General features: G+C 46.0%; 1 long non-coding RNA gene across 1 annotated transcript in view, besides 2 other annotated features; it reads right to left on the reverse strand.

Annotated features, from left to right (window-relative positions):
- PTCSC2 (papillary thyroid carcinoma susceptibility candidate 2) overlaps nucleotides 1-26,647 on the reverse strand; it is a 153,456-nt gene that overhangs the window by 35,480 nt on the left and 91,329 nt on the right. The window lies entirely within an intron of this gene.
- Nucleotides 6,379-6,488: an enhancer, noted in NCBI's record as "active region_28678". NCBI's record gives its function as "activates an Ori minimal core promoter by ATAC-STARR-seq in GM12878 lymphoblastoid cells {active_cell/tissue: GM12878}" and the evidence as "EXISTENCE:reporter gene assay evidence [ECO:0000049][PMID:35858748]".
- Nucleotides 22,661-23,860: an enhancer, noted in NCBI's record as "CDK7 strongly-dependent group 2 enhancer chr9:100520047-100521246 (GRCh37/hg19 assembly coordinates)". NCBI's record gives its function as "activates an origin of replication core promoter dependent on BRD2, BRD4, P300/CBP, MED14 and CDK7 cofactors, with strong dependence on CDK7, by STARR-seq in HCT116 cells {active_cell/tissue: HCT116}" and the evidence as "EXISTENCE:reporter gene assay evidence [ECO:0000049][PMID:35650434]".

A 26,647-nucleotide genomic window follows, 5' to 3' on the forward strand; every position in this document is an offset into this window, starting at 1 on the left:
ATACCTTTCTAGTATAGCTTCTAGAAAGTCATGCATGTGTATATTTGTGTGTACATATGTGCGTGTGTATGAAGATACATGTCTCCATGTGTGCCCCAGAGCTGCCCTGTGCTTATTCCCTGGATGCTGCATGTGTAGACTTGTTATCTGGGCTGAGCTTATTCCAGGCAGTTCCACCCTGTGGGAGGGGAGAGAAGAGGGGCAAGGTGGAAGCGGCGAGGGAGCTACACCTACATTTTTGTGCTGCCCACTGATTTTAGCTGCTGAAACACAGGCTCCTGGCTGCTGTGTACTTAGCTAAGTCTGAGTGACTCCATACATGGGCAGTGGGCCGGAACGCTGCCCGCCAAGCATCAGAACTGACAACTTCTCTCACAACTGGGATCCAGGTCTGCAGGAGCATTCAAGGCCTTTCTTGCACACAGAAACACACATACACAGGCACATGTGCATGCACGCATGATGCACAGAGCAGGTGCCTTTCCCTCTCTGGCCTCAGTTTCCTAATTAGTAAAATGAGAGACTATCTTTGCTTGCCAGAGTATCCTTAGAGTTCAGAGACATTAAAGTTTGCTTTGCAAACTATAAAGTACTGGGAAGACCTTGCGGAGATAATGCTCATTCAATCTGCCCATATAAATAACAGAGAACGGAACTTTTCCCCATTTCTTTAAACCATACAGTTAGCCCCGTGGGCTCCCTCCAAATAGATATTGGATTAACTTACTCTAATACATAGATAATACCCTATTCTATTAATACAAAATTGGTGATTTCAGCCTCAGAAACATGCTATCTGATGTATCCTTTTCCCCACCGAATCTGGAATGGTTTGATTGCCAGAGAATACCCTGATTCATGATTCAAAAGGAAGATAATGTAGCGAGATGACTAATAGAATGGACTCTGGAGCTAGAATGCCTGGTTCAAATCCCAGTTCTGCCACTTGCAGTTGTGTTGCAATGCCTAGGCCCTGTCATTTAATTGCTCTGTACCTTAGGTTCATCATCTGTCATGTGGCATGACTATAGCGCGTCCTCCACTGGGCTGTTGTGAATGTCTGCACATATAAGACTGCTTGATATAAGTGGTGGTTATTATTTGTCTTCTTGGAAGAAGAGTAGGTGGTGGTGATGATGATGGTGATGTACATATTCAATGTGAATCAGTGATTGCCAGTGCCAAGGCTAGACCTGAGCTAGCCCATGGCCTCCTCCAGCCTACACTGGTTTTGGAGGAATGCTCTATTGTTAGAGGGAAGGGCAGGTACTCTACCCTAACTTCCTGACCACAGCATTTTCCACAGGAGCTCCCACAAGAAGTTTTAATGAGGTAAGCACAAGCTCTCACCAATTCCAAGCAAAAAGGTGGGGCTCTCTGCACCTCTCTCTACCAGTGCTGGCGTCACCACCACCGTCATCTGTGCCTGGATGCAGAGGTCTTGCGACAGAAGGTTTGGAACCCTGAGGACTATAAGGACTCAGAAATTTGTTAGGACTAGACAAAATGAATAATTGGGTTCCAATTTCTGTTCTGACCCTGGCAAGCTGAGTGACCCTAGGCAAGTCATTTCACCTGTCTGAGCCTTTGAAGATTACAATATTGGTTGTCGTTCTTAAGGCCAGGATTTGATCAGATCAGAAAAGTCTCACTTTCCAAAGGGGATGTCAATAAAAAGTATTTACTTAGTTGGGTGAAGGTGTGAGGACAGATCCAGCATGGAGACTTTGACTCTAACCCGCTAAGCTGCTAAGAACCATCATAAGATCTTGTATTGAAAAATTATTTATGGGAGTAATTTTATGTGCAGTTCATACGCGGTACAAGAAGCCAGTACACAAAAGGTCAAGTCATGGAAGCTGAGTCTGTTCTGAAGCTGCCCATCCCAGAGAGTGAGAACTGGAGAAGCTTCAGGGCATAGTGTGAATAGCACTGTGGCAAGAGTTAGGGACATGGGTTTGGTGTTAGGCAGACCTGGGTTTGAATCCCTCTTTGGCCACTTACTAACAGCTGGGTGGCCCTAGGTACATCCCTCAGCCCTCTGTGTCTCAGCTTCCTTGTCTATAAAATGGCCATATGGTTCATGTGACTGTGTGCAAGATTACATAAAGTGATACAGTGAAAAGCTCCCAGCACATAAGTGAGCTTAATAAATGGAAGATGCTGGTCTCATTTAGGACTCTCTTGGTTTGAGTGACGGAAATCAAACTCACACTAGCTTAAGTAAAGTAGTCATTTTGTTGTTTTAAATAACCAAGAAGGGCAGGGGTGGGGTTGGCCTTAGGGCAGTCGGGGACAGGGACTTAGACATCAGCAAGACTCTCTCTTCTCAGCTTCTCATCTCTAACTGTTGGCTTCCTTCTGCCCTGCCACAGAGGTTTCCTATGGGGTGAGGACATGACTTCCAAAACCTCTCAGTTCACCATTCCATGACCTATCAGGAGAGGATTCTTTCCCACCAGCTAAAAAACATCCCGGGAAAAGGACTCTAATTTGCCAGGCTATGTCACATGACCACACTGGACCAATCACAGTAGCCAGGAGGATGGCTCCTCTGATTGGCTCAGCTTGGGTCATATGCCTCTCCCTGGGCTAAGGGACTTGTTCCCGGCAGGAACAGAGGGTGGGGATGCTGCAGGAATTTCTCCTCAGGAAGTCTGTATGTGGGTGCGTTAGGAGAACAGTTCTCTGCACTAGGTGCTGAGGGTGGCATGAAGCCCCTTCTTCCAAGAGCTATATTGTCTTAGTGTGGCTTTGGTACCATGTTTATCCCAAAATGTAGTCTTTGTAGAAACAGCTCGACTTAATACAGCTTAATGCTGACCAAATCCACCATCCTCAGCTGCTGTTTGCAGAGCTTAGGCAGCGTTCCCAGCAGAGGAAGCCCAGGAACTGTGGCAGTCTCACTGGAGGGCTCCGCGTGGAGCTTTCCCTTCACCAACCCATAGCCCCCGCCTCAGTAAGACCCTGGCCTCATTTCCTCTGTCGACCCCCTGCAGATCTCAATGAGCCTGGGAGCACGGTAATTAGAAAAAAAAAAAACAACAACAAACAGTCATAGTGTTAGAAGGGACCTCAGGAACCACCTGGCCCACTTCACAGACGGAGAGACTGAAGCCAAGCAAAGGCAAAGTGCCTGCCTACCCAGGGACACATTGCTCCTTTGGAACTATGTCTTCATCAAGCGCCCTCTGACGAAATAATCTGTTCAACAAACCCCCATGACAGGAGTTTACCTATAAAATAAACCTACACATGTACCCCTCAACCTAAAATAAACATTTTTTTAAAAAAGCACCCTCAGCTCCTATCTTATGGTAGGTCCTCAGTAAATATTGAGTGAGTCAGGTGTGGTGCCTTGTGCCTGTAATTCCAGCTAATTGGGACGCTGAGGCAGGATGATCCCTTGAGGCCAGGAGTTCAAGATCAGCCTGGGCAACTGGGCAACATAGTGAAACTCTTTCTCTACAAAAGAAAAAAAAAATTAACTATGTGTGGTGGCACATGACTGTAGTTCTAGCTACTCAGGAGGCTGAGGTGAGAGGATGGCTTGAGCCCAAGAGTTTGAGGCTGCAATGAGCCATGATCGCACCACTGCATTCCAGCCTGGACAACAGAGCAAGATCCTGTCTTAAATAAATAAATAACTAAATAAGAATGTTGGGTGAATGAATGAATAAACTGAGATTTAAATCCAGGTTCATATTATTTCTGATATATCATTCTACTTCCCCTTGAACCTAAAAATAATTTCTAGACTAAAGTCCTTTCCTGCTCTAAGGGAGATGGCTCCTTGACCAGGATGGGCAGGAGGTTATGTAGATGACCTCAGTGAGCACAGTCCTAGCTGAAGTGAATGAGAACTGGTATGTGGTATCGGGGCAGGCAGATGGGAGGAATGGATTTGAGAGAGGTAAGCACATACTCATCGTTGCCTTTTAATAACTCATGATTTGGTCCTGTTTGTGATAGGCAGGACAGCATTCCACTCCCATTCAACAGATGAAAAAGTTCCATCAAAATTCCTCTGCAGCTTAAAGAAGGCAAGCACTCAGTGAACCTTACTTGCCTAGTGATTTGTGGAGTTTAGACCCCTTCCCTGGTGTTCCAGCTTCTGGCTCCCTAAACATCTGAGGCAGCCACTTTGTTGCCTCATCCACAGGCCCTCAGCACCTGATATGCCACCTGGGGTATCTCCTGCTGGTCATTTCTGGCACAGGCCAGATGTGCTGGGGGAATTAACAGCCCCTCCTTGGGAGCAGTCCTCAGCCAGTGGCTGACAGGAGTTGGCGGACACACCCTCCAGCTGCCTTGCCCCTGGGAACTCAGGGGCTGTGCATATGGGCCGCACTGGCTCCCAGAGCCCCCAGCAGGACCCAGCTCCAGTTGCCTACAGGGGAGGCTTGCTTGCTAACACACCATGATTGTTCTTCCCCTCTCCTGCTTTACTTCCATGCTCCCTAGCAGCATCCCCTCCCAAACAAACTACTTGCATTTGAATCTTTGTCTTAGAGTCTGCTTCTGGAATAACCCAAACTAAGACTACCACCTTCTAAAAAAAAAAATGGCAGAGTGGGTGAACCAGCTGGCTACATAATGGCAAATATTGTTTATATGAAGTAAGTCCAAGTTAGGTCTATACCTCCATGCCCTCTCACCACTTGCCTGCTCCTTTCCTGGCCCCACCCTCACCAGTCTTGCAAGTTTCTTCACCACTCATGAAGGAGGGGAACACCTGTGAGGGTGTCACAAGTCATGCTACCAAGAACCAGAACCATACAGGGCTTGACTCCATCCCTGAGCCCCTGGGTGACAGTTTCCCATGGCTCTGACAAGGTGCTAGAAGTGAGCTGGCATATGCTCTGCCTTCTCAGACAGGCTACTGGTCTGGTCTGTCCTGGTGTCTGTCAGACATGAGCCCAGCCTTATGTCACCCAGTTCCTGAACTGACGACTCCCCAGGATGATCTATGTCCCTGATAGCACAACCTCTAGACCACTGGGTCTGAGGACCAGAGTGGTGGAGCCATGGGATGCTGGAGCAGGAAAGTCATGTAGGGACTGGGAACTTGTTCTAACCCTCCCATTGTTGGGGGGATGCCTTAGACCTGGGAGGACAGGGTCTTGTCCAAGGTCACACAGTGCAACAGGAGTGGAATGGGGCATGAACTCAGGGTTTTTTCTTTTATTTCCAGTTCAGCATTTTTGCCTCATTAACAGACTGTATGGAAAGAGGAGCAAGGGGGCATGGCAGAAGAACAAGGGCCCCGGATTTCAGACTTGGCTTGAAACCCACTTTTGCTGTTAGCTGTGTGACCTTAAGCAAGTTACTCAGTTCCATGTGCCTCAGTTTCCACGATTGTAAAGTTGAGGTTCTATTAATCATCCAACAGGGTTGTTAGGAGGCTGAGCAGAGATAATTGAGATGGAACACACCTGGTAGTAACAGATGCCCAATAAGCACCGGGTGACTCTGAATCTATAAAGGGATCCCTCTTATTTTACAGCCTTCCACCTGGATGACACTCAACAAATTTTAAACAGAAATATCCTCATCTTCTTCATAATCACTTCTGGAAAATTTACAGCAGGGTCTAGTGCAGAATTTCCAGATCGTGTGATTCAGAGTTCTGCTTCTGAGAAAAGGTGCCATGTGAAAAAAGAAGGAGCTACCAAGTAAGTTTGGAAAGGGTTGCATTAACATCGTCCACGTTAACACACTGCAGGACTTCTGAGGGCCTTCGCTTAACTTTTTTTGTCAGGAGCACTAAATATCTCCTAGTCTTTGGGGATGCTGCAGGGAATAGGTTTGGGAGACAGCTGGTCTACTGGAAAGGCCACCTGACTGAAGCCTTGACTCTTTTATGTCTCTCACTTACTCATTGTGTGCAGTTCCTGAACCATTAGAACTTGTTTCCTCACTGGTAAAATGAGAAGGGGGATGATAAGTAAGGGCGTTTCCGGTTCTGATGCGCTGGATCTTGAAGCTCTTCTCCACCACTAGCGCCCTGCTTGTAACCTTAGCACACGCAACTCTGAACAGGAATAGTCCTGGGAGAAGGGCGGAAGGTTCCAGGAGGGCGCCTGCCTGCCTAGAGTCCCCTTGCCGGTCTCACCCTGGAAAGGTAGGCGGAACTAGAACAGGCGGGCCCCACTGCCTGCAGCCTGCGAGGAGACGCCAGGGCTGCAAGCCCCCCCGCCCTCCTCCGCCCCTGCCGGGACAGTCAGCCGCTAGGGGATTAGGAACGGGCCCAGCGCCCATTCAAGCCATTCAGCGAGACAGGAAGCCAAGCGCGCTCCTGCCCGCCCGCCTCTGCCGGGCAGGTCTGCGGGATGACGCGCATTGTGCTGGGGACTCGCCCAAAGGGAGGCCCAGCCGTGGGGAAAACCGCGTCCCGCGGGAATCCGACGCCCGGTGACGGGGGCACCTGCAAGGCTTCAGGGCGAATCCCTGACTCCCAGCCCGGGGCTGAGTCCTCGTGGGGCCGCCTCCGCGCTGCCCAGTGCTGCCGGTTATCTGCTCACAGCGGGTGGCTCCGGGCCTTCAGGAGCGCGACGGGCGCCATCCCTTCCAGTGCCTCCCGGGACAAGGCCAGGGTCATCGGCACACGGAGTTTCAGCCCGAGTGCCGGAGTCTTTCTTCAGGACAATGCAGAGATCTGCACAAAAGGCAGGCAGGCGGGTGAGGACAAGTTAATCTCTGTGAGCCTGGAGGCTCTTGAAGGCCTTGGGGGAACGGGCATGTTCATTTTCTCTGCCTCATTGGAGGCATCGAATCCTTAACCTAGACAAGCTGGATCTGGCTTTGAAGACTACTAGAAGACAGGGATTCCTTGTCGGCTCCCAAAGGCCGGTGCGGGGAGGCTCGCTTGAGCCCAGGAGTTCAAGACCAGCCTGGAAAACATGGTGAAATCCTGTCTCTATGAAAAAAAAGAAGAGGAAGAGGAAGAAGGAGAAGAAGGAGAAGGAGAAGAAGATGAGGAGGAGGAGGAGGGAAGAAGGAAGAAGAGGAAGAGGAAGAGGAGGAAGAGGAAGAAGAAAAGAAGAGGAAGAGGAAGAGGAAGAAGGAAGAAAAGAAGAAGAAAGAAGAAGAAGAGGAAGAAGAGGAAGAGGAAGAAGGAAGAAGAAGAAGAAGAAGAAGAAGAAGAGAAGAAGAAAGAAGGCGGCCCAGTGTCTTACTCCTCTTTAGTCCCAGCTATTAGGGAGGCTAAGGCACGAGGATCGTCTGAGTCTGGAAGTTTGAGGCTGCAATGAGCTGTGATTGCACCACTGCACTCCAGCCTGGGCGACAGAACGAGAGACCCTGTCTCACACACACACACACACACACACACACACACAAAACAAAACCACACACACAGGAAAGAAAAAAGAATGATGGGCTTTCACTGTCTGGGATCCTGCTGGATTTGTGCTTTGGCTACTGCAGAGTGTTGGAACTTCATGCATTTCTAATTTGGCCATGTCTGTGTACCACCTGTGTGGGATACTTCTCCAGGCGACCTTGGACTCATCCAGTTCTACCCCCTTTCTGCCTTGTAGTTCTCAAGAATAACTGTAGAATATGCTGGAAGGGCAACATCCTGAGATAGGGAGTGGCTGGCTGGAACAGCCTGGCTCTGTGCCAGTCCTCCCCAGAACAGAATGTCTTTCAACGCTTTAGTCCAGCGAGTCTTGTTTTCCGGGGTATAAAACCCAGGACAGGCTGCTTTCCAGGGTCCTCCGCTGCCGTACAAGTGGGAGACACACAGTCGAGATTCCTTTCCCCTGGACAGCTTTCCGGAGCCTTAGGGCTCAGGCCTCAAATGCGTCCTACGCTTCTACAGTCCCTTGCTGCATCTCTGTAAGCAGTGAACCCACTTCATGTAACTTGTTGTGTGTGGGCGTTCTATCTCATCCCACTCAGACAAGTTGGTAACCAGTACACAGTGAACCTGATTCACAACTTGTAGTATTACTGATTCAACGTTTTTCTTATATCAACTTGCTTATTAAATTTTTGCTAAGCTGTATCTGTGAAATAAAATGAGATTTATGTGCTAGTAGTTCCTACTACAATAAAAATAATTTTCCAACCATTAAAAATGATTTGTCCCTGATGACCTAAAATCAGATTGAGACTCATCAGTGCTAAGTTAGAGAGATGGGATTATATAGTCTGTAAGTGCCCTTCAAATCTTGAGAGCTCCTGTATTTTGTGTTTTTACAGAGTATTTTGTTTAATCCCTATTTCAACCCTATAAGGTAGATACTATCCTTGAGTTTTCAAATGAAAAAAAAAACAAAAACTGAGATTCTACGATATTCAGTAATTTCCCCAAAATCCCACAGCAAATGACAGAGCTAGGATGGGAACCCAGGAGTCAGAAATCGGAACTTGTGTTCCTAATCACTTAAGCTATATCACAAATGAGAGAGGTGGATGATTCTATGACTGTAGGGCTCTAAAATGATGTGAAGGAATGAAATGTCTTCACATAGACAAGAAATGTCTATGTCCTAATTCCCAGATCCTGTGAACATTACTTTATATGGTGAACAACGTGATTCAGTTAAAGATCTTGAGATAAGGAACTTATCCTGTATTACCTGGGTAGGACCTGCATCAATCACATGTATTTTTTAAAAGAGGGACGTTTGACACAGACAGAAGACACATAGAAGAGAAGGTGATATGAAGACAGAGGCAGAGATTGGAGTGATGCAGCCGCAAGCAACGGAATACTGGCAGCAACCAGAATCTGGAAGAGGCAAGGAATGGATTCTCCTGCTGGAGCCTCCGGAGGAAGTACAGCCCTGCTGGCACCTTGATTTGGGACTTCCGTCCTCCAGAAAAGAGAGAATACATTTCTGTAGTTTCAAGCCACCAAGTTTGTGGTAAAGTTTTTTACAGCATCCACAGGAAACTAATACCAGTGGTAAAGTGTACTTTACCTCCCCGTTTGTCATAGTTGCTCTTGATGGCTGGAATGGTCTGTTTGGGGCTTTGATATGGTTTGGCTCTGTGTCCTCACCCAAATCTCATCTCCAATTGTAATCCCCACATGTCAAAGGCGGGATCTGATGGGAGACGACTGGATTGTGGCGGCGGATTTCCCCCTTACTATTCTCGTGACAGTGAGTGAGTTCTCACGTGATCTGGTTGTTTGATAAGTGTCTGGCACTTTCCTCTGCACTGTCTCTCTCTCCTGCTGCCATATGAAGAAGGTCCTTGCTTCCCCTTTGACTTCTGCCATGATTGTAAGTTTCTTGAGGCCTCCCTAGCCATGTGGAACTGTGAGTCAATTAAACCTCTTTTGTTTATAAATTACCCAGTCTCAGGTAGTATCGTTACTAGCAGTGTGAAAACGGACTAATACAGGCTTGTTAACATGATTCTTGCCTTTGGATCAGCTTGGCATCAACTGACTCTGAAACATCAGTAGAAAAAATAAAATCAGGTAAAAATGAGAGAAAGAAAATTATACAATAAGCAAGTTATATAATAAGCACCTATATTGTTATTATTGCACTTAAGTTTTACCTTGAGCCTCCAGACAGCTGAGGCAAAACGAAAATCAGGGCGGATGATATAATTTTCACTTTCTGATAAAAAGGAATCAGTTTTGCTTTTCAAGAAACACACATCTTTCCTTTATGTTGTATTCTAGGAATAACTGAGCAAGTATGTCTTCACACAGTGGACACTGAACAAGGCAGGAGATAAAATGCTCAACAGTGACTCAGACAAGATCTAGGGCTATCCTCACGTGGAGGGTTCTCATGTTATCCCTTCATAAACACTACAGCCCAATAAAGAAACACAGTTCAGCATCCTGACCACCCAGACTGGCACCCAGGAATAAGCCCTCACACGGACAGAGTACACCAGGGTTCACAAAGTGCTTTCACATCTGCCATCCTACATATGTTCAAACAGCCAGTCAGGGCAGACAGTGTAATCTGCGTTTTACAGATGCGAGAACTGAGGCTCATATTCTGGAGATTGTCCCAAGGTCACACAGCTGGTGAGTGGCAGGGCTGGGGTTCCCTGAGGCTCCAAGAACAGGTCTCCCAGGCGTGCTGCCTGGGAGTGAAATCCAAATGCCTCCTGTTTTTCTACAGGAATTTCATACACATCTGTCTTATCTCTCCAAGCACACTGAGCCTTTGCAGGCAGGGTCTTTTCTCCCATGTTTTAGGAAGCCTTGGTTATCTGCCCAGGGCTGGTAGGTGAAAGATATCCTGCCATGTGTCAGGCCCTGCCCAGGAGAGACACCCCATGCTCCATCTGGTCCTTTAGGTCAGGTCCCAAGCTATCTGAGAACAGTGGCCTAAAGGAGAGGAGTTGAGGAAGGGGGTTAGGGAGCAGACCCAGCACTGTCCAATAAGATCCAAGGAGAGAGGGCAACGCCCCTGCCAGCTAAAGGTGTGGCCAGGGTGCTGTCCGACCCACAGTGCTGACTGGTCTCTAGTTGCTGGGAAAAGAGAGACCTCCAGGGAAGTGGATTTGTCCTTCCTGTATCCCACCCTTCCCAATCAGTGGTTGAAGGGGTTGGAGACACTTTCTCAACTGAGGCACTGGAGGAGAAGGAGAAGGGGGGACTGAATGCTTCTGCTTCTCCCACTTTCTTCCTACTCCTGCCCCTTTGCGCCCTTCTCCCTAATTCATCCTGTTCCTCTTCTCTCATCCCCTTCCAACCTCCCCTCCATTCCTCTGGAGGTACTCGTTTTCCACCTCCCTCCATCCCTACCTGCTCTGTTTATTTCTTCCTCCCTCTTTCCTCTTCACCCACTAGATGTGCAAACACTTGCAAGTTTCTTAACCTCTCTGAGTGAAAGCCCTAACCTCACAAGGTGGTTGTAAAGCTCAGTGGTCAGCATAGAGAAAATGCCCAATCCAAGCGTGTTCTACTCACTCACTCCCATTTCTTCCAGATGGGAAGGAGGACAGATAGGGGCACCACATTAACTCCCTTCCTCACCACCGCAGAGCTCCCGCATACCAACTGTGCCCCAACCAGTGGAGAAAGCCTAGGGTCACAATGGACCTCCTCTTCCACCTTAGGAGACAGACCATGGCCCAGGATGTCAAGCTACATCCAGCAGGGCTATCGGGTGACATATAATGATGGATGATGATCTCTAAGAGGGAGTGGGAATCATGATTTACCATACACCTGCCATGTGCCAGGCATAGGCTGAGCATTCTACATATATGGTCTTTATGAGAGCCCTACGAAGCAGGTGCTATTTTAGTAACCCTGTTTAACAGATGAGTAAAGAGGTTTAGAGAGATGAAAGTCAGGGAGTGACCTTCCCTGGGTCACATAAATATTAGGTGGTGAAGGCAGGTCAGTCTGACTAAGTGACATGCTCTTTGATTTAACTTTTTTTTTTTTGTCTGGCTCTGTCCCCCAGGCTGGAGTGCAGTGGCATAATCTCTGCTCACTGCAGCCTCTGCCTCCCAGGTTCAGGCAATTCTCCTGTCTCAGCCTCTGGAGTAGCTGGGACAACAAGCATGAACCACCACACCCGGCTAATTTTTGTATTTTTAGTAGAGATGGGGTTTCACCATATTGGTCAGGCTGGTCTCAAACATCTGACTCAGGTGATCCACCCACCTCGGCCTCCCAAAATGCTGGGATTACAGGTGTGAGCCACCGCACCCAGCCGATTTAACTTTTTATTATGGGAAAATTAAGCATATAGAAGATTAGACAGAATAGTGTAACCAACCCTCACTCACCTGTCACCCAGCTTCATTGATCAGCTCTTGGCCAGTCTTATTTCATCCTAATCCACATCCATTTCACCCTTTCCTTATTTTGAAGCATATCTCAGACATCATATAGTTTTGTCCATAAATACTTCAGTATGTGCCTTTACAAGACAAAGCCAATTTTAAAAACGTAACTAAAATACCATTGTTGTGCCTTAAAACTTTGTAAAATTTCTTAAGATTACCAAATAACAAGGCAGCACATTTAATTCACATTTCCAATCATTGTTCTACTCTCCCCTGCTGCCTCTTTTAATAAAGATAATAATACCTCTTCCACTGCAAAGCCCTTCCACACACATTATCTTATCTAATGCTCATTATCTGCCCTTGGCCCTACACAGGGTTGGACTTTCTTCATTCCGGAAATGTGAGAAAGTCTTTCTAGAAAGGCTCAGAGAAGTGAATGGACTCACCCAAGGTTACACAGTAGGTTAGGGGCAGAGTCCCTAACCTCCTGTCTCCCAGCCCTTGCCTCTGTTCACCTTAGGGGCCTCCCAATGGGAGGTTTCATCTGTCAAGCACAGAGGCCAAGGCAGTGATGGGGGGTGTCCTGGAGGAGCAGGATGAGAGACTCTCCCTGCAGTGGTGGCAGCCTGGACAGTGCATGTTCTCAGCTGGAGAGCTACAGCCAAGCCTCTTTCTCTTAATAACAACAGTACTAATTCCCTGGCACAGGCTTGTTTGTGTGCAGTAGCTCCCCAAAGCCTAGGCCGTGGCTGGGGCTTATCATCTGGCCTCCCGAGTGGCATGCCTTAAGCCCCCTGCACTAGGGCAGATTGGATACTGAAGCCCAAAAGGAAGGCACAATAACCACATCACTCAGTCAGCCCCATTCTAATTCTGCTTTTCACCTAAGTACAGAAGGAGGGCAAAGGTTGCTCTGTTTTTCTTCTGGGAACCTCCTTGCCTAGCCAGCCCCACACATGCAGAGAATGCCAAGGATTCCATTCTAAATCCCCTGGCTTTTATGGCTAATTCTTCCATTAGTCTGCAAGCTATAGAGCAAACCCTTCAGCCTGGCATTCAAGGCCTGCAGTCTGCCCAACACCACCGAGGTAACCTATCACAGATAGCAAAGAGACCATGGTGCAATTTCAGGGAAAACAAAAAAGCTTTATACAAGCTAATTACTGGAGTTGTCCAGTTAGAGCTTCACTTCCTTAGCTTTTGAATGTGTTGTCTGTCTAAATGCAAACAATGTCGCCACCAATGGTGTCCATTACATCTTCTTCCATACCTCAAATTTAAAGTCCTAATAATACTGCTTGCTACTCATTTGCACAGATGGACTGTGACATTTCATTTTTCTTTGACTTTCCTCATGCTGTTTCCTCTGCCTGGAAACTTATTTCTTCCTTCTTCATCCACTAACTACCAGGTGTATCTCAGAACTCAGCAGAGACATCACCTCCTCCCGGGAAGATTCCTAAATGTCTCCTTCCCCTCATCAGCCTTTCCACTCCCTACATTGGGTGAAGGTCCCTTTCATGGGCTTATCTTTATCTTAGCACTTACTTCAGTGTACCAAACTCAGCAGCTTGTGAGCCTTCAAGGGCAGGGATCATGTGTTGTTCATCTCAGTCTCCCCCAGGCCTAAATACAAGGCGTGGCACATACTAGGATCTCAACTTAATGTGCTCGTTGAAATACTTTATCTCCCTGAACCTTCACAACAGCCCTGTGGGTCAGGCTGCCCAGGAGTCGTGATGCCTCTCATTTTATGGATGTGGAGGCTAAGACAAAGAGGGGTGAGTGACATGTCCCAGGCTCCATGCTGAGAGGGAAGCCAGCATCTCACTAATGCCTCCTGGTCTACCTGCCACCCACTTGGACCAGCCCTGGATGCCCAGGTCAGAGGATGTGTGACAAAGTGGAGCAGAAGGCAGGGCCTCCAGGCACATGCAGCACAATCCCTGTTGCCCCAGGGTAAAGCCCAAATTCCTCCTCCTGGCATAATGACCTTCCCAAGGCCATCTCTCCAGGCTCATCCTTTAAACTCCTTCTCAGATACCCCTGTTGAGCCACACCTGCTTATCCACCTAAGCTTTAAGGGCCTGGGCTCACCTGAGTTTTAAGAACCCTGTACTTGGTGCCTAAACTGTGTCCCCATTGCACCCTGGGACTTCACAATCAATTCAACTGGATGAAGAGGCAGAACAGATGTTCACTGAAGTCTTGCAACGTCAGAGTAAAAAAACAGCAGTGTTTGGAACACACAGATGGCTCAGCCCTTCCCAAACTGTGTTTGTGGAATACTACAATCCTGAGAGATGCTTATAGCTATTCCTCCCACAAAAAACCCCATGGGCAATACATAATAACAATGCCCATAGCATCTTACATGCAATGTTGTCTTTCATCCTGATAATATCCCTAAAAGGCAGGGTCCATATTTTCCTCTGAACTGTGAGGAAACTGCAGCTCACAGAGGCTAATGAACTTCCCTGTGGTTGCACAGCTAGGCAGTAGTGCAACCAGGATTCCAAACTCATCTTGTGCATTTTGCCACTTTGCAAGTCTACCTTTCTGTCTACTGCATTGTTCCTCGAGGAAATTCAAAATGTCATTAGCATGCTGAACATCCTGAGGATTCTTGTCTAAATTTAACTAAGCATTGGCCAGGTGCGGTGGCTCACGCCTGTAATCCCAGCACTTTGGAAGACCAAGGCAGGTGGATCACAAGGTCAGGAGTTTGAGACCAGCTTGACCAATATGGTGAAACCCCATCTCTACTACAAATACAAAAAATAGCTGTGTGTGGTGGCGGGTACCTGCAATCCCAGCTGCCTGGGAGGCTGAGGCAGGAGAATTGCTCAAACCTGGGAGACAGAGGTTGCAGTGAGCGGAGATCACTCCACCGCACTCCAGCCTGGGTGACAGAGCGAGACTCCATTAAAAAAAAAAAAAGTAAGCATCTTCCACACTTATTTGAGGCTGGAACAACTCCCTTCCCACCACTACTTTTTGTTTGCTGAATCCTATTCCTGTCCCACAGAATACAAATGTTTCACTGAACACAGTTTGTGAAGTGCTGCCCTGAAAAATATCAGCTCTTGTCCTGACAACCTGAGAGCACAGGATGGAGGCCGTGAAGGAAGCCTGGAGACCTCTGTGCAGAGCCTCTTTGTTGTACATGTGAGGTTCTGAGACCCAGAGAGTAGCAGGTGTTCTCAGGTTGCACAGCCAAGGAGGGGAGGCACCATGGCCAAGAACGGCCTTTTCACTCCAGGCAGGCTGGCAGGGCTGGCATTTTGGAAAGCTCTCAGCAGACAGAATTCACACACCTTCCTGTAGAGGCCGCACAGGATTCAAGAGATGGAAACTGCTGGAAGGAGCACTGTCTTATTGAAAGTAATCTCAAGATCCCAGGACCACAAAGCTAGATGTTTCACATCAGTCTAATTCCCCCAACACACAGGCCTAGAGAGGAGAAGGACTTATTCAAGGCCACAAAGCAAGTTCAAAGCACAGCTGGAACTAGAATCCAAGTGTCCTGCCCCCTGCCTCCAGCTCCAAGGCTCTGTCTGGCCTTTCCTGCAGTTGTTGATATGTCTGTCTGTCTTCTCAGCCTGGCCAGAGGCCCTTTGAGAGCAAGGTTCATGCTTGGCTTCCCAGCTCCCAGCACTTAGGACTAAAGAAATATTGGTAAGTGAAGGAAGGCAGGGCCTGGTGGCTCAGACCTATAATCCCAGCACTTCGGGAGGCTGAGGCAGGAGAATCACTTGAGGTCAGGAGTTCTACATAGCCTGAGCAACATAGCATGATCCCATCTCCAAAATAATAATAATAATAATAATAATTAACCGGACGTGGTGGTGCGTGCCTGCAGTTCCAGCTACTTGGGAGGCTGAGGCAGGAGGATCACTTGAGCCCAGGAGTTTTGAGTTACAGTGAGCTGATCACATCGCTGCATTGCAGCCTGGGAAACAGAGCAAGATTCTGTCTCAACAACAACAACAAAAAAGGTGGGGGGGGGGAAATGAATACATAAAATATTTGATTTTTACCAAAAACCCTCTTTCTCAGCTTGATCATTTACAGGGCTGGGATTATCTTTTGGCTACTTCCAAAAATGATTGCACCCTCAAAGGATAAATATTTGCTACCAAAAAGTAACAGCAACACTTATATTGTGCTTAATATATATGTGTGTATACACACACATACACATGGCTGGTATGAGGAGTATGGCAGTAAACATGACAGATTCTGTCCCTACTGTTCATGCCTTCATAAAGCTTACATTCTGGTAAAACAGATCATCATTAAACAATTTATTTCCCAATTAATTAGCCAATTAAAATGGTGGTAATTGCTACAAAATAGCAGTAAACTGCACTGTGATTAGCTTAATCAGAATCGAAAGTGCTAATCTGCTGAAGGTCTTAAAAGCTGTCATTAAAAGAAACTTTTCCATAGCTCCATACAGCAGTTGTAAAAAGAAAGCAGACAGAAAGAAGTTCTTATTTATCTGAGGAAAATTAAAAGAAATTCTTAATCAACACATATTCCTGCAAAACAGGACTCCTTACAAGCAAATTAGAGAGAAGATATTCAAGAGATATTCAGCAAGAATACCTTCTGAGCACCCACTGTACCATGGAACCTGATGGTAGCTATCCCAACAATACCATTAAGTAGGAGTTATTACCGTAGTTAAAGAGGAGAAACCAAAGGGTCAGAGAGGCTAACCAATTCTTCAAAGTTCAGCCATGCAGCTACCAAGTAGGACCAGGATTTAAGCCCAGGATGATGTACAGCAATGCCCAGAATCTTTTCCTACACCATGTTGTGTTTTCTAATCTTAAAAGCTGATCAACCAAGAGTTGAAACTTTGGACTCTGACATCATAGGTATGCAAAGTCTTCTTGTCAATGCCATCTCTCCTTCATGGGGCCCTGGAGAAAGAACATTGCATTTTCTGGGAACCAAGAGGATCAAAATGAGAAGATCATGTATGATGCAAACCACACTTCTTGGGGGAATTGTTAATTACTGGAATTATTGCATTCTTTTCCTCTGAGATATAGGTTTCCTGAACAAAAAGCTTTAATATTTTATTTATGCAAATGGAGAAACTATTCTATATCCCTCAAATAAGATGCTTAAGTGGGATCTTTTCTCTGCATTTTCCTTCTCTAAGGCAATTCCATCTCTTGGCGCAGCCAAACCTTGCCCAGAATTCCTGGCCCCAATTTCATGAGCAAAACTATATCCCACTAATCCAGTTTTCTCGTAGTTTAAAAGGGACAGTGGAGCTGCACTTTTCTTTTGAAGGAAAAAGGGCTCATCTTTTTCTGGATTCATCCATTGGCCTGGGAACGTTCTTTATCTGATCACCACATGGGCCTGACTCCACAAATGCCTTTTCCCATCAACGGGAGTACTTTGGAGCATTTTCTAACATCCAGAAAGAATCCAACTTTGGAATAGGGAAGTATAGACTATGCCTTGGCCAGTGTGCCTTCCTGGAAGCCGGCTCTTGGAACCTCACTGCTCCCACAACCCCTAGCCTATTCTATCATGGTGGTCTGGGAACCTGAATGTCCACCGCACTGCTGCTCCTGAAACAGACATTCTGTCTTCTTGAGAGTGAGCAGGGAAGAGGGCACCTGGACAGGCATGTATGAACAGCCCTCCCTCCTCAGGAGCTTGCCTTTCAGGTTTCCTAAGAGCTGATGTGCCTGTGGATTCTATAATGAGGAGGGATTTGTTTGTTGAAGGATCTTTTCAGCTTCATTGCTTAACTCAAAGGTGAGAAGGGGGTGGGGGCAAGATGAAAACTACTCTCCTTTGCCTTCCTGCATAGTTCAAATTTAAGCTTTGTCTGCAGCTGCCCTGAAACAGCAGCCAAGATAGTTTTAAGGATGGGGACGCAGGAGTTCTAGCCCTGGATTGGCCCCTTTATCTGCTATATAACCAAGGGCAAATCTTCCCTCTCTCTAGGCCTAAGTCTCCCCATCTGTACAATGAGATGATGGGGTGCTATGATCTGTGCCTCAGCTCCCTCCTCTGTGCAATGGGCCCATTGCGATAAATATCCTGCTCCACCCTCCTGATTGTTAGATCAACATGGAGGGATGTCAACTAGATCTGAGAACTGAAGGCCTCCTTTAGACAGTTTGATGTATTAGAACTATAAAGCAGGGGCAAATTCTCATTGGCTTTGATATTTCTTTGGTAGTGGCTAACAACCAGTCTGTGCAGCAAATGTAATTTATTTTCTTTGTTTTCATTTCAAAAACCTTTTCAAATTGCAGAAGAGCTGTGAAAGATAGAACAGAGAATTCTCATATATTCTTCACCCAGCTTTCCCTGAGGTTAACATCTTATATAGCCACAGAACAATTTTCAAAACTAAGAAATTAACATTGGTACAATACTAGTAATGAAACTATAGACTTTACTCAGATTTCACTAATTTTTGTACTAATGTCCTTTTTTGTTCCAAAATTCAACACAGGGTACCACATTACATTTAGCTGTCATGTCACTTTACTCTCCTGCAATCTGTGACAGTTTCCCAGTCTTCCCTTTTTTCATGACCTTGACATTTTTGAAGAATACTACTCAGGCATTTTGCAGAATGACCTCAATTTGGGTTTGCCTGATGTTTTCTCATGACTTGACAGAGCTAGTGAATTTTGGGAAAGAATATCACAGAGATGAAGTTCCATTCTTATTGCATCATAGCAGTGGTATGATATTAATACTGTTATCACTGGTGATGTCAAATTTGATCACTTGGTTAAGGTGGTGTTTTCCAGGTATCTCCACAGTAAAGTACTGTTTTTTCCCTTTCCCCATAGTCTACTCAGAAAAGAGAATCACTGAGTTCAGCTTACACTACACACAGTTCAAGAAGTAAGGAGTTAAGCTCCACCTCCTGGAGGGAGGAATATCAGGGTTTGTGGACATGTTAAAACTATCACAGTTGACGCAGGATAGGTAAGCCCTAAAGTGGGGCTTAGCCCAAGAGGGTTCTTGGCTTCACCCAGGAAAGAATTCAAGGGCAAGTCGGTGACAGAGTAGAAGAAAACAGCTTTTTTGAAGCGGCAGTGTGTTACAGCTCCAGTGGTGTTACAGCTCTGTAACTGCTCCTGCAGAGCAGGGCTACCCCATAGGCAGTGTGCTGAGAGTAGCAGCTCAGGGCAGTTTTGCAGTGATATTTATAACCTACTTTTAAATACATATAGATTAAGGAGCACTTTATGCAGAAATCTCTAGGAAAAGGGTGCTAACTTTTGGGTCATCAGGTCATTGCTATGGAAAGGGGAAGTAACTCCTGGGTGTTGCCACGGCAATGGTAAACTGACATGGCATGCTGGTGGGCATGTCTTATGGAAAGCTGCTTCTACCCCATCCCTGTTTTAGGTAGTGTCCAATTTGATCCAGTGTCCAAGCCCCACCTCGAGTGGAGTCCCACCTCCTACCTCACAGTGATTAACAAATATTTAACAGGAGGTCCTCTGAGGCTGTATAAATATCCAGTTTCTTCTTAAAATTTTGTCCACCAATTTTATCATAGTCAGTGGATATTGCAATTACTGTTATAGTGTTCTAATGGTGATCTTCTGTTTTCTTAGTTTCTTCTATATTTACTATTTGAAATTCTTCTATAAGGAAAATTTATCTCTTCTTCCCCGTTTATTTATTTATTCAATCCATTTTTATTTATATCAATATGGACTCATGGATATTTATTTTATTCTTCAGGTTATAATGCACTACCACATTTATTAACCTTGTTGCTCAACTTTAGCCACTGGGAGCTCTTTCAGGTTGACTTTTACGTCCTTTTGTCATGCCCTATCTTTATTTTTTCAATATACTTTCTTACTTGCTGGCACTCCTTTAGGATTTAGGACCATCTTGTATTTATTTTCCTTGACTCAGCTCTAGAACTACCCATTTCTCCAAGGGGCCCTGGTTCCTTTTATTGGAGAATGGTATTTAGGAACCAAGATTTGGGGGCTGAGAGTGCCCATTGCTACTGGGGTGTCACTGCTTCTAGGCCTTCTCAGCAGACAGAGCAAGGAAATATATATATAAACTAACCTATGAATATACATGTGTATACTTATTTCTGAATCTATTTGTATATACATTAAAATAAACATGAATTTATGCTGACACCAGCCCTGCAGGGTTCATACTAGTCTTTCCCCTGTTATCAATTGTGACTTTTTCTTTGACAATGAGAAACCTGACTCCCATTATCTATCATTTATTTATTTATTTATTTGTTGATCTTGTATATATATTAAAATAAACATGAATTCATACTGACACTAGCCCTGTAGGGTTCATATTAGTCTTTCCCCTGTTATCAATTGTGACTTTTTTCTTTGACAATGAGAAATCTGGCTCCCATTATCTATCATTTATTTACTTATTTGTTGAACCCTTACATACATATAAAGTAGCTTCAGAATGCTAACCTGTACTCCTATGAGAAATACATCTACCAACTACACCACAGTGTTTATAAATGGCTTGTTTTGTCTTTAACTACATATAATTTTTAATATTTAAAACAAGGCTTGGACTCACACCCCAGCTTTGCTACTCACTGGCTGTGTAGATACATATAAGGCACACACCTAACTTCTCTTTTATTTCAGTTTACTTACCTGTAAAATGAGGATAATAAACTCTGCTCTACCTGATTCATAGCCCTGATGGTGGGGATTAATTATAGGAGATATAAAAGGGCTCAGAAGAATTGCCTAGTACCCCTCAAATGCCCAATATCATTACATCACTGTCACTGAGCTCCAGGTTTGGGCCTTGCACATGGCAGTTTCTGCCCTTTGAGTCTTGTCCTGCTCTAAGGCACATACAAGGGACACAAATGTCCACTCCTTTCTGCATCCAACTCAGTGAGTCTGATCCAAGCTGGGAGGGAGGCTGGTCTCTGACTAAATAAACACAGACATTAAGAGCATCTGGGCTCTTGGAGGCTTTCACTACTCACTGGAGCATTTCAGCCTGACCAGCCTGGCCAGAGCCAAAGCTCACAACTGGCCTTTTCCCTCAGCTGCCTCAAGCAGTAGCCTTCCTGGGGGCCTTCCCCTTCATTTGGAAGACCCCCACACCCTGGGATGGGAAGCTTTGCTCTCACTCTGTGCTGAAGACTGGCAAGGTCCATTCCTTTTCTGGTCCCCAGCTTCCCTATCTGTAAAATGAGGGAGTTGGATTAGATCATACGTCACAAAGCGGTAGCCAGATCCAGCAGGCACGTGTTCCATTCGGCCCACAGAGCATTTTCAGTATGTTTTTAAAAAAATTAAAACACTTTCTATTTTAGAGCAGCTTTAGGCTTACAAAACAAATGGGCAGAAAGTACTGAGAGGTTCCACATAGTTACTCTCCCCACTCCCACCTTAACAGTTTCCTTTGTTATTAACATCTTGCATTAATATGGTGCAAGTGTTATAACTGATGAACCAACATCAATACATTATTATTAACTAAAGCCCATAATTCATATTAGGGTTCATTATTTGTGCTGTACAGATCTACAGGTTATGATAGATGCATGAGGTCATGTATTCACTATTACAGTAGCATGCCGAATAATTTCACTGCCCTAAAAATCTGCTGTGCTTCACCTATTCATACCTCCCACTTCCTCCCAAACCCCTAGTAACCACTGATCTTTTTTACTGTCTCTATAGTTTTGCCATTTCCAGAGTGTCAAAAATGATATGCAATCATACAGTATGTAGCCTTTTCAGATTGGCTTCTTTCACTTAGCAATATTCATTTAAGATTCCCCCATGTGTTTTTGCAGCTTGATAGTTTACTTCTTTTTTTGCTGAATAATATTCCATTGTATTGATGTACCACAGTCAATACCCATTTACCAGTATGTACCTATTTACCAGTATGATTTTTTGGCTGGAACTATTGCCAACATTCAAGAATGAGAGGCATTACTTTGAAATCCAGATTTTCAGATTCTCTTGAAGAATGCGAAGATTTGGTGACACAGGGTCTATCTTCCCAGATGGCAATAATTGGTGAGAAGTGAATAGCAGTAGCTCTCTTTGGATGGGGCACGAGGGATTGAGGCACATGCACTACGATCCCCTCCTGTCGTTCTTATGTGACCTGCCAAGTCCTGGTAAGAACTTAGACCACGTTTGCATCTTATTAGCCGAGTGTCTCCAGGCAAATATGCTGATTGTTTTTCATTTGCACCACTTCCTAGCCCCCAATCTTACCTCCACCCTTTTCTGTCCTGCTCTGTGTCCTGAGACTGAACCTGTAGACTGCATCTCCCAGGCTCCCTTGCTGGCTAGCTTCCAGGTGGGCTTGGCTGCAGAAGGCATTGGCAAGAGATCAGAGGGTGAGAGGAGAAAGGGACCACTCTCTACTCCCACTGCACTCCTCCACACCTAAGTACCTACTTTCTGGAAGGAGCTGCAGGTCCCCAAACCGTGGCTTCTGCTGGGCAACCCTCCCTAACAGTCCCCATCCTCACTGGGTGCTGGCAACTCCATGCCTCCCTTTGCTTCTTCCCACTGGGCTAGCCTCTGGGTCATCTCTTGTTTCCTCTCTTAACTTTATTATTCCTCTGTAAGTGATCCTTTCATTGAAGTCTCTATTTGAACCATCTGGGTGCATTCTGTTTCCTGTTGAAAGTGATAAAGCAAAATGCTTATTTTCTCGTGCCTCAGTGTCCTCATCTAAAAATAAGAATCATATTAATGCCCACTTCGCAGGGATGATATGGCAATCAAATGAGAAAATGTATTTATGATACCTAGTTCAGTGCCTGGCATAGGTAAGTGCTCAATGAACGTTCATTGATATTATCATCATCACTCCCATTGGAATTTATAACCTGGGGCTATACGATCTCTATAGGTCCTTACAGCATGAATGGAATATGAATGGGTGATTCTCTATACAAAAGTTGCTGCCAATCCAGATATTATTTTAGTCTTTTGATCTCAAGGTAGAGTTGAGGCTTAGACAATAAAAATTATAATTATCTCTTGTTGCCATTTATAAGCAAGAGGACTATGCCTTTTACAGAGAGGTTTCTTCACGTGATGTCAGCCATTTGGAACTTTCATGCCCTGTTACAGATAACAGGTAACATTTATGGAGCATTTTCTCTATGCCAAATAACCTGAGTCTTTATATGTGGAATTGTATAATGCCACACGTTACTGCCTCTACAGATACAATCACTGAGGTTCAGAGAGACAAAGTGACTTCTCCAACGTCACACGGTCAGTAAGTTTTTAAACTAGGACTAACCCAGGTCTCCTGGCTCCAGGTCTGGTACATTTCCCATTATATACCCTGCCCCTTTATGGGCAAGAACTCTGCCACACCAATACCCATGAGCTCTCCTCACCACAAAAATCTTCCCACTTCTAAATAGAAACATCACTCAGCCTTATAAATTTCCTAATTAAGGTGGCAGGATCTTGAGAAGTGTAAAGTGATATTATTGAAGGTGGGGTGGAAGTCTGCCCTTGACCACCCCTTTTCCTTGCCAGGCTCCAGGAAACAAGCATCCACTCTCACTTCCTGATGTCAGCCAGTCTCACCGAGTCTACGCCCAGTTTGATCTCCTTTGACGTGTCTCCTTGTGAGAGGGGAAAACCGAGTCAGCTGGAAGAGCCCAGTGAGAAGGAAGCAAAAAATGAGGCTCAGGCAGAGAAACCAAATCCCTCCACTCAGATGTGAGTGTGACAAATATGTGCGTAATAAAGGAAAGGAGGGATGAATGAGTCAATGAATCCACCAAGGCGTCAGACCTGGGGATCAGACTACAAGGTCTGAACCCATCCCCCTTGTATCACCTTGCTGAGCCTCAGTTTCCTCATCTGTGGAATGGGCTGCTACTGCCTGTCATTTGGGAGTTGCTTTGGAAGTTGAAGGAGATCACATGCACATAGCACCTGGCACACAGTATGACCTCAGGGATGGCTGATCTCTGCCCTCTTCCTTGTTTCACATTCTCCCGACACATTCCTTGACTTATCTGAGCCCTCTGGAAATGTATTCCAGCTTGAGGTCTCCTAGGTTGTTATAGCAATGATATCTAAGAATCATTATAGTTGAGATTTGTAGAAAGCAAAATGTGCAGCAACCTAAAGTTCTGACTCCTTGGACATATATTTGCATGCCTTGGCATTCAGTGATGTGCTGTCAATATGTCAGGTGCTTAAGAAATATTAGTTGACTTGATTTTCAGTCTAGATAGTTGAGGTTTGGATCATTGTCACCTCCTCATACTCTTAGTAAGCACTCTTACTAGGCACTTGGACATTCATAAAATTTCCAGAGCCCCCAAAAGCCTGAGAGGTAGTTAGGAAAATATATGTTATCGCCATTTTTATGGATGGGGAAACTGAGTCTGTGAGGTTAGGCAACTGTCAAGGGTCACAGAAGTCCCCCAATTCAGAATCCGGTGGTCTTTACATTCTAATGAGCTGTCTGTTTATCTTGGAATAGGAAAAAAAAAAAGGTGGTATCATCGAGCTAGCCTCTGAGTAATATTTCTCTCAGCCTCAGGAGAGGAGAAGCACCTTGCCAGGGGCACAGCACAATGGGAACTGTGTTGGGACAAAAATATGAGTTCTCTCACTCTTTGCATCGAGCTTTTCTCGTTCTGCCATGTGCCTTAGATTCAAAAGGAATAGATGTAAGGCAGGGAGTACTTGGAACTGACAAAATAAGAAATACTTCCAGTCCTCAGAGTCCTGGTAAATTAAATTCCCCTAGAGAGTGACTAGGAGAAGAGTTTCCAAGCCCAGCGTTCTGCATGCCTGGGGGAGCCGAAGCTGGAATGTTTCCCAGGAGTCTAGGCCTGGCTGCCTAGCTGCTGCCTGAGAGGCTCAGAGATGGCATTCGAGCCCCAGATCCCCTGGCTGGAGCCAAGCATAAGAACCCCAGGGTGCTTGGATTCACACAGTGCCCTCCCCAGCACTGTTCCTGACCCAGCTGTCACAGGTGGGTGGACACCCAAGCAGGGGCTGGGAAGCAGAGATGGCTGGAGCTGCTAAGAGGGGCCAGGGCTCCAGGGCACACTTGACTTGTCTCTCAGTGGAGCCAGGGACATGCTCCAATGACACCCATGGCTGCTTCCTCATAGGGCACCCTCTGCCTCTCTGGAGCCTGCCGCTGGCTCTATCGAAAGGGGCCAGTGGGAAATAGTCATGGGGTCCTACTCTGATCTGAGCAGCCAGAGGGAGTGACATGAGCTGAGAGTTGTGAATAAACCCCTGTACTTTGTACTTACTTACTCAACTTGACAAACATTCCCCATGGACTTGCCCTCTGTCAGACTGCACTGGGAACTGGGGATTCTGTAGTGAATCAGGCACTATGTTTGCTCTTCAGAATCTAGTAAGAGTTGGGCTCACATAGCCAAAATGCAAAGCAGAGCATGGCAGCGCCCTGGAAGATGAATTCCAGATTCCTGCTGCCTGGTCCAGAATCAGCATAGCCCAACAATGCTAGGTGACCTTGGTCAAGTTGCTTAATCTCTCTACCCTCAGTTTCCATCCTTACCCTTCTTTCTCAAAGAGCTACTCTAAGAAGAAAATAAGACAATTGGCCTGGACATACTTTGGAGTCAAAGCTGAATAGGGAGAGACGATTGCTAGTGTTTCATAGTGTCATCAGTAACATAGACACCATTTATTCAGTATCTTCCCAGGTACCAAGCATCTGACCAGTGTTGCATGTCATTCTTCCAACACTCCTGGTACAGCTCTATTATTATCTATATTTTAGAGATGAGAAATTGAGGCTCAGAGAGGGGAGGTGACTTACCCATGGTCACACTGCTTGTAAGTGACAGAGCTGGGATTGGAACCAGGACATTTGGATTCCAGAGCCTATGTTCTTTCTGGACTTTCTTCCTTATTTCTTTCTTACTCTCTCTCTCTCCCTCGCTCTCACTCTCCTCTCTCTCTCCCCCCACCTCTCCGTCTACCTCCCCCTCTCTCTCTCCCTCTCCCTCTTTCTCTCCCTTTCCCTCTCCCTTTCCCTCTCCTTTCTTTTTGGATGGCCCCTGGTAAATCCTCTTCACTCTTTAATTCAGCAATGACTTCTTGAACCCTTTCTCTCTGACAAGCATTGTGTCAGGCTCTGAGCATATAGAGGTAAGCAGGCTTGAAGCCTTCCCTCCTGGACTCACAGCTCAGTGGGGAGAACAAGCAATGAAGAATAATTATAGGCATAATGACTCTCACACAAGGGCAGAGACAGGGCCCCATGGGAGTGTGAACTTTATCTAGGAATTGAGCAAGGTCTTCCAGAGACAGTGATATTTAGATAAAATCTGAAGGCTGGCTAGGAGTTGGCCAGACAAGAATTCAGGGAGGAGGGAACAGCATGGAGTCTGGAGTCCAAAGGGCTCAAGGAACACAACAGGACAGATGCGCCATTCGAGAAACAGAAAGACACCAATAGCACAGGCTGCAGGGAGGAGTGGTACATGGATTGGCAGCAGAGGGAGGCAGGAGCCCTGTGACACATGTCAAGGAGTTTGGACTCTCTCCCGGGTGTCCTTGAGAGCAGATCTCATAGGGTTTGCATACCCTTCCTTTTACATCTTCATGGCTTCCTCATCCCCGCTCTGACTGTTCAGTCGGCAGCTGAGGAACGAGGAGGGGCAGGATCTAGGGGAGCTGACAGTGACCAGACGAGCTGAGGTCAGTGCAGAGCTGCGGATAGGACAAGGAGGGACTGGGCAGGGACCAGGACAGTGAAGCACTTGGGAGAGCTTTCAGTGGTGCTCGGACTTGAGGGCAGTCAGGAATCATTCATTCATTCATCATTCGTTCATTCTACAGATGTTTACTGAATGCCTACTATGCTCTGGGCACTGTTCTGGACACTGGGGGAGACC

This window comes from Homo sapiens, chromosome 9 (genome assembly GCF_000001405.40).
Source record: "Homo sapiens chromosome 9, GRCh38.p14 Primary Assembly".
In the NCBI taxonomy this organism is placed as follows: domain Eukaryota; kingdom Metazoa; phylum Chordata; class Mammalia; order Primates; family Hominidae; genus Homo; species Homo sapiens.